General features: G+C 52.2%; 1 annotated feature.

The window, feature by feature from the left end:
• Window positions 662-1562: an enhancer, noted in NCBI's record as "H3K27ac-H3K4me1 hESC enhancer chr13:114927227-114928127 (GRCh37/hg19 assembly coordinates)". NCBI's record gives its function as "activates a minimal SCP1, AML or CMV promoter by ChIP-STARR-seq in primed H9 embryonic stem cells {active_cell/tissue: H9 hESC(primed)}" and the evidence as "EXISTENCE:reporter gene assay evidence [ECO:0000049][PMID:30033119]".

Genomic DNA, 7551 nt, shown 5'->3' on the forward strand with positions numbered 1-7551 from the left:
ACGCTCACGTTGGCCCTCCGTGCCCCTCCTGATTGTCACCCACTGGGTGAATCAGTTTCCTGAGCAAAGGTTCGCCTCCAATGAGGTCAACGCACATGTGGCAGGGACCCAGTATGGTTTGTTCGGAAACCCGTTTCATGCGGAGCCAGCAGAAGCCACGTTAAACGCACGCGTTCTTCCATCCCTCTGCTCACCGGAAGCGAGCTTCCCAAGGCGGGCACGGCGCCGCCCCCCCAGTCACGCGGCTTCCGCTTCCGGTCGTGCCCTCTCGCCTCTAACTAGAGAACGCCTCGCGGTGTGAGTGAAACTCTGGCGGCCTCGCTAACACGCCAAACCTCTGTCCTCAGAATACGAAGGGCAAAGTGTGTCCCACTCACGCGCAGGCTTCCCCGCGGCGGCCACAGCGGCGGGGGGCGGGGGTCGTGCTCACCGTCGTCCAGTTCACCGGCATGTTTTCAATCAGCCATCACGAGCGAAGTGCTGCTTCGTGTCCACCAGGGAAAGCTTCAGGGAGCACGTTATTGGCACTCAAGATGCCAGCCATGGGCTGCCTGGAACGACGGTTTTTATCATTTATGTGAGTCCTGGGACATTTTCTTCCAACAGACCTAAGTATGTATGACACCAGCATATTACACGAAGCCGAGAGGGGGCTGCTCTGGGTGAGCGTGGAGGAACACACGACCCCTCCCACGCTCACGTGCCCACAACCTCCAGGACAGCCCAGCCTGGGTGAACTGCAACTTCTTTAGCTCAAGGGACATCTGCTTTTCCCCAGAGGGGCCCCTGGTGCAGAAGCAAGTTGGGGAGTGTGCAGAGCCGGGAAGAAGCAAAGCGAGGGTATGGGTGGGAGGGAGTGGGAATCCTTGGATTTGGCAGAGAACAAGTAAATTTTCGGAAATCATAGTCAGCGTGGTCTCCACAAAGATGAGAGGGCAGGAACTCGATTGGAAGGGGGCCAGTGAAGCTGCTGTCAGGAAGCTCTCACAGGGCAGTAAACAGCTCCTGGCACCCGGAATAGGAGGAGGAAGTCGAGAACCCACAGCCGCCCTGCCCAGCCTGGCTCCTCCTCACCCGCCCAGGCTGCTGTGCTCCTCACGGGAGGAAAACCCGCCTGCGTCCAGCTACCTCCAGGAAAGCAACAACTGCCCGTCCTCGACTAAAGGCCAAACCTTTTAACATTTTTGTCCTTGACCACGGCATCAGCTGTGCTGTCTACAGAAGGAACTATATTATTCCCACTTAAATAGCTCGGTGTTTCGTCAAGAGAGTGCAAACACGAGGGCTTCGGTAGAGGGAGGAGACACTGGCTCAGGAACCAGAGCTCACGGTTCCTGCTGTCTCTGCCCCTTGACCTCGGTGTGAGGCGGCTGCGACTGGGTCTCTGCTGTGTAAATATTGTGCCTGAGGGCCATTTTGACAATGACCGTTTCTACTTTAAAAACAAAGCAGACCAAGGGAGTCTCTGGTCCAGGGATAAGGTGCCTGCAGTGCTTTTCCGACACCTAAATCTCTGCTTTGTCCTGAGAGAAACAAGCGTCACGAACTTAGCTCACTGTTGGTGAAGTGACGGCCGCCAGGGAAGAGTGCAGGGATCTCAGGAGAGACGCTCGGGTCCTTTTTCAAAACCAGTGTGATGCACGATATGTGACTACTCGCCAGAGTCTCGGGAGAGTGTGACGAGCGATGGGTGGCTACTCACCAGAGCGACTGGATTTCTGTCTGAGGCTACTGCATATGCTGGGTCTTAGCAAGCAACGGCCATGCGGCCATCAAGGCACAACAGAGAGCTCTTCTTCTAGGAAGTTCGAGGCATTAAAAATTTCCTCCACTGGGAGCATGAGCATAAATATCTTCCATATTGTTCCCAGTTTTTCTGAAGGCGAAAGAAAATAAAGAAGGCCAGTCAATTAGAAATCTGAATTTTTCTATTAAAGAAGGCAGGGGTTAGCCGGGCACAGTGGCTCACGCCTGTAATCCCAGCACTTTGGAAGGCCAAGGTGGGTGGATCACTTGAGGTCAGGAGTTTGAGACTATCCTGGCTAACATGGTGAAACCCTGTCTCTACTAAAAATACAAAAATTAGCTGGGCGTGATGGCAGGCGCCTGTAATCCCAGCTACTCGGGAGGCTGAGGCAGGAGAACTGCTTGAACCCGGGAGGCAGAGGTTGCAGTGAGTGGAGATCGCGCCACTGCACTCCAGCCTGGGTGACAGAGTGAGACCCCATCTCAAAATAAATAAATAAATAAAAATAAAGAAGGCGGGGGTTCCTGTCTCTATTTTTCCAGGAGAACAAATATTACCAATGTACAAAACTAGGGGGAGACAGGAGTGACTTTACCTCACTGCCAACGCCTCCAACACAGTCTCCATTCACAGGTCAAGACAGAAAAGGAGTTTCCTGGAAGACTGCAGAGTCTGCCACAGACCCAGGGCAGCTGGACTTCCTGCAGATCTAAAGCCAGGGCTGGAAAAGCCACCCAGAGCCCATCAGGCCTCCTGGACCTGCTTCTTGGTCCCTCTTCTCAAAGTCCTCTCCCCTGAAGGCTATTTCCCCTGCCTCTCCCTCATCTCATCTCCCACAGTCTCCTAGTGTCTCTGCCAGCCACATGCCGAGAGAACCAGCTGCGCCCCAACACTTCCAGTCTCTAGAGAGATCATTTCCGTGATCCATTCAGCTGGGCCCAGGCCGAGGGCAGGGGCAGGAGTGGTCATGTGTTAAGAACAGGGCAGACTGGGTGGGTTGTGGGTCGTGGGGAGCTGGGCAGACACCCTGCAGGGCGTCCACAACACCCGTTCCTAATGGGAATGTAACTGAAAGATAGCGGAGATGAGCTTTTCCCAGAGTTTGGGAAAAGCATAAGGAGTGAGGAAGGCTGCACCCTCACCAGCCTTCCCCAGTGACGACGGAGCTGTACACCCTCAAGCAGATGCTGTCAACTCCTGGGAGACACAGTTTCTTTACTGAAAACACGAGCCTAGACTAGGACTGGACGGTTCTTGCTTTGTTTTTTTGTTTCTTTCTACACCATTCACATTCCATTGGTAGAAGTGCTCCTTCCATACCCGGCAGGGGGACCGAGGGGGCCATGTGGCACTGAGCGGGCTGCCGGGACCAAGGGGGCTCATCAGCCCCTTAGGTGGGGTGGGGGCATGCACCGTTTGAGCACCACCGCCGGACTCTGCACCCAGCGAGGGACCCTCTCCTCCCTGCCTCTGACCACCACTGTGAATTACAACTCCAAGCAGTGCTTCCCTGGCCACGCAGGAGGAGTTACAGGGGTTGAGGAAGCGTGGCCTAAGGAGAGGCAGATGGGGGAAGGATGTGTGCTCTGCCGTCTTCAATACTGAGGGGCCTCGTGTGCAGAAGGACGTCGTTTCTTCAGTGTGACTTCAATGGGCAGAATTAGAATAAAAAGGTAAAGTTTATTATGGAAGAAGGTAAATCTCAGCTCATCTCAACCACTTTCTCTAAGTTAGAGTTGAGTTGACCCCCGATTCAAAGGTGCTGCTTCGGGAAGGCACAGTGCATGTCCCTGTGCTGTCTATGGCAAGAACTTGATTCAAGGAGGATGGAAGCCAGAGGCACCCAGCTCCTCCACCATTCAGCCCGAGGCCCAGGAGCACCGTCCTTTCCCAGTGCTTCTACCTCTGGTCTTATTCGCCTCTTGTGACACAGCTATGATGTGACGTCCTGCATTTTACTGATGTGGACGCTGAGGTCCAAAGACAAGCAGCCTCCCAGGGACACACGGAGCTGGAGTCCCCCGAGTCTCTGGGCTCCTGGCTGGGGTTCCTGCCGCCTGCCCTGCTGCCAGCACAAGCGTCCTCGTCGCTGTCTGGGGTGCACGCTGGGGCATGTGCTTAGTTCGTACTTCCCATTCATGGAAGAGATGATGAGCCCCAGTAAGAAAATAATTTGAAAATAATTTACTGGTGGGTGCACGCTAAGTTCCCACAAGGAAACAGACATGCAGTTCGGTGCTGAGAGCTCAGTGACCATCCTGGGGACAAGTGGTGTGGGAGCGATCACACTGCACACCAGGCCACCTGCCCCCCAGCTTCCCAGCTCACCCTCACGCCTGTCTTCCTCACCCCAGCCCACCCACACGGCCCCTTCACCATGCACAGACCCTGGCAAAGCGCAGAGTGCCTTCACTCGAACTTTCTCAGGACTACAGCCTGCCCGGCCAGTCGGCCCTTCCTAGCCTGCTTGGAAGGTGAAGAAAGTGGTCTCCATGTCACCCGCATAAAAGGCGACGACTATCTGCTCGGATGTCATAGGCTGACCTTCCCAAAACAATCTCCCTCAGAACCAACCTAGGTGCTCAGTGTGAACTCTCACCCATTAGATTGACAGAGTGGTTCTCGACTGGGGTTGATTTTTGCTGCCATCTCTCCCCAGGGGACAGCAACGCCTGTAAACTCTTTGAGCTGTCACACTGGATGTGAGGCACACCTACAGCCATAGAATCCTAGAAGCCAGGGGTGCCACCCAGATCCCACAGCGCAAAGGACATCTCCCCACAGCACAGAATTGTTTGACCCAAAATATCGCTTTTCATCAGTGGCCTTCTAAACTCTGCCTCTTAGGTGATAGGCTGCTCCCACCTAGGACTGCGTGTTAAAATGTGAAAACGGGCGGAAGCTTGGCAGCATGCACAGCTTTAATCAGGGATTCCGTCTGGAATACCTGCTGGGAGTCACTCTCTCCAGGTTAGTGGCCATCGTGATAAGCGATTCTGGGGGAAGGAGGAGGAGGAGAAGTGGGAGGAGGTCTTGGTGCAGCAGGAGGCATTTAAGATGGGATGGACTGAGGAGCCGCAGTCGCTGGATTGGACCCAAGCCACCAAGCTGGACCACAAATGAAGCCCTGGATCCACACCTCCTCCTGGTCACAGTGACAGTTCCCACCTAGGACATCTGACCTTCTAAAGGCCAAGGCAGTTCTTTACTAAGCAGACGAATACTACTTTCTTCTCAATTTCATTTTCCTTCTCAGTTGGAGGAGAGGGTGCAGTTTGTATTTCATTGAATTTTCTCCTTTTCTTGAAGGGAAGGATATGTTGCCAAAAATACTCATGAACTGCTTCCTTGTTTTTGTGATGGAGAAAATGATTATTTATTTTACAATTGCATCTGCATTAAGATGGCAACAAGGGGCCGTGGGCTGAGGGGTTAGGGTCCTGTCCCCTCTCTGTGCGCTGGAGAGCTTACTGGGCATCTTGCAGGTCTCCTGGACAGAGGCCCCAGGGCTCAGAAGCACACACACACATCCTGTCTAGTTTGTGGGACCCTGCAGAGCCCAGGCTCCAAGGGCTGCTGAGATGGCTCAGCACACGCGGGTCTGAGCATCAAAGGCTTCTGTGCCTTGCGCCGCCCCCGACCCCGCCTGCAGCCTCAGCTGCCCTCTGCCTTCCTGGCAGGCACTGCCCATGGGTTCTCCGCCAGGGCCTGGCTGCTTTCCAGCCTGTGCCCCAGCCCCGGAGGGACCGTCCCCTGCAGATGACATGAGCTTTGCCTAAGGCCAGACTTGAGGACCAGTAACTAGGGACAAAAAAATAGCTGCTCAGAATAGCACAAAAGCTGTTGTTGTTCAGTTCTGAAAGTCTTACTGCATCCTATGGCCAGATGAAAAAGGAACCGAGGCGGAGACCCCGGGCAGGACGTGGTGCTTTTGCAGACAGTAAGGGAACCAGGCAGCCTCCAGCTCTGGTGTGCTCTCTGCCCGCATGGGTCTGCAGCCCCTGCTCCCTCTCCTCACCACGGGCTGCGAGCTCTTGGCATGGCTGCCCCAGCATCGGGGTTGCCCAGGTTTCCTGGCAAAAACCAACTGAACGTTCAGATCACCTCCCTATTCAGCTGGCTTGGAGCAGAGAGCAGGAATGGTGCCTGGCCTCCTTCCCAGGCAGCCTTCCTGGGAAGCCTCCAGGGCCCTGGAAGTTGAGTGTCCGGTGCCTTCTTGTCTGTGGTCTCCTCTCTGTGATTCCCTGGGACATCCAAGGCCTGAAACAATGTGGGGCTGAGGAAGCAAGGACGCCTTCGCCAGCCAGGCGGTCAGACACCATGAGGTCCCAGGGAGGGGCTGTTCAGACACCGACGGCCGAGGGACTCTTGTTTGCTTTATAAGAGAATCCATCTTGTGAGCAGGGTGGGCTTGCAGGCAGTGGTTTTGTGTTTTTTTGAATTTCTAAGCTCAGTAGGTATGAGATGGTGTCAGTGGAGAAGGGGCCGGCTGTAAAGATGTGATCAAGGCCTAGTTTGCACATCAAATAGATTTTCTTTAATTAACCACACAAAATGATAAAAACTTTAAAATGGCTTTCTTCCCACCTGTGAAAAGAAAAACTTCAGCTGAATTAAATCTAAAGGAGTTTAATTGAGCAATGAAGGATTCACGAATTGGGCAGCCCCCAGAATCACAGCAGATTCAAAGAGATTCCAGTGCAGTCATGTGGCAGAAGATTTATAGACAAAAAAAAGAGAAATGATGTACAGAAATCGGAAGTGAGGCACAGAACAGCTGGCGACTCAGCGTTTGCCTTATTTGAACACAGTTTGAACACTCAGCAGGGTAAGTGGCTAAAGTACGGCCACTGGGATTGGCCAAGGCTCAGTGATTGTTACAGGCTCAGACTCCTAAGTTTTCTATCTTGTCTACCTATTAAGTCAGGTTGTAGCTCATCCACAAGGACTCAAATAGAGAAGTACAGAGACCTTCTCAGGACATATTTACTTTGCTTTAACAATTCCCCTCTTTTGGTCATTTTCTCAATTTTTGAGAGATTAACCAAAACTTTAGTCAGCGATGTCACTATCACCATAGTAAATGTACTTATTTGGTCTTGAAACCCACTGGAAAATAGTAGAACAGTGAGTTTTGCAAAGGTAAGAAGAAGGACTGAACAGAAGGCACCTCCTCATACTGAACGTCCTGTTTACAGGAGGAAAACAAAACCTGGTCTGTTCTGTCCTAGGATCTGTACGTTTCCTTCAAGTCTTTGATTATGTCACATTTAGCACAAGAAACTCTATTTTTGTCTGATTGGGTCTGTTGGGGCCTATTGTATGAGCTCAGTTCAAAACAATGGCCTCCCATCATTTTGTTTAAAATAAATTCCCCCTTTTTGGTCAGGTTCTCACTTAGGTGAGAGTGTGACCAAAACTTAGGGCATTAGCGCCGCTCTCAGTTACCATGATTTTGGGTTTCTGGTCTCAGCACATCCCTCATAGGTTATGGTGTCCTCATGGTCACACATTTCTTTCAGCTCTAGTCATTCCAATTGAAGAGAGACCATTTGACATTCTAAAGATAGCTGCATGCAAACATTTGAAATCTTTGAGAGAATACAGTGCACCAGGGAGACTATTATTATGACTATTGGGAGGATAATACCAAGAGTCTGCAATATACTCCTTACCCAGGGTCCCCATAAACCAAACCTCCTAAAATCAAATAGATCAAAGAATGAGCTTGATAAGGAGTCTACTCACTTGACTAAGTCGTTTTTTCATTAATCCCCTTCAACTGAATCTCTGTAATACCCGAT

Source organism: Homo sapiens, chromosome 13, assembly GCF_000001405.40.
Source record: "Homo sapiens chromosome 13, GRCh38.p14 Primary Assembly".
NCBI lineage: Eukaryota > Metazoa > Chordata > Mammalia > Primates > Hominidae > Homo > Homo sapiens.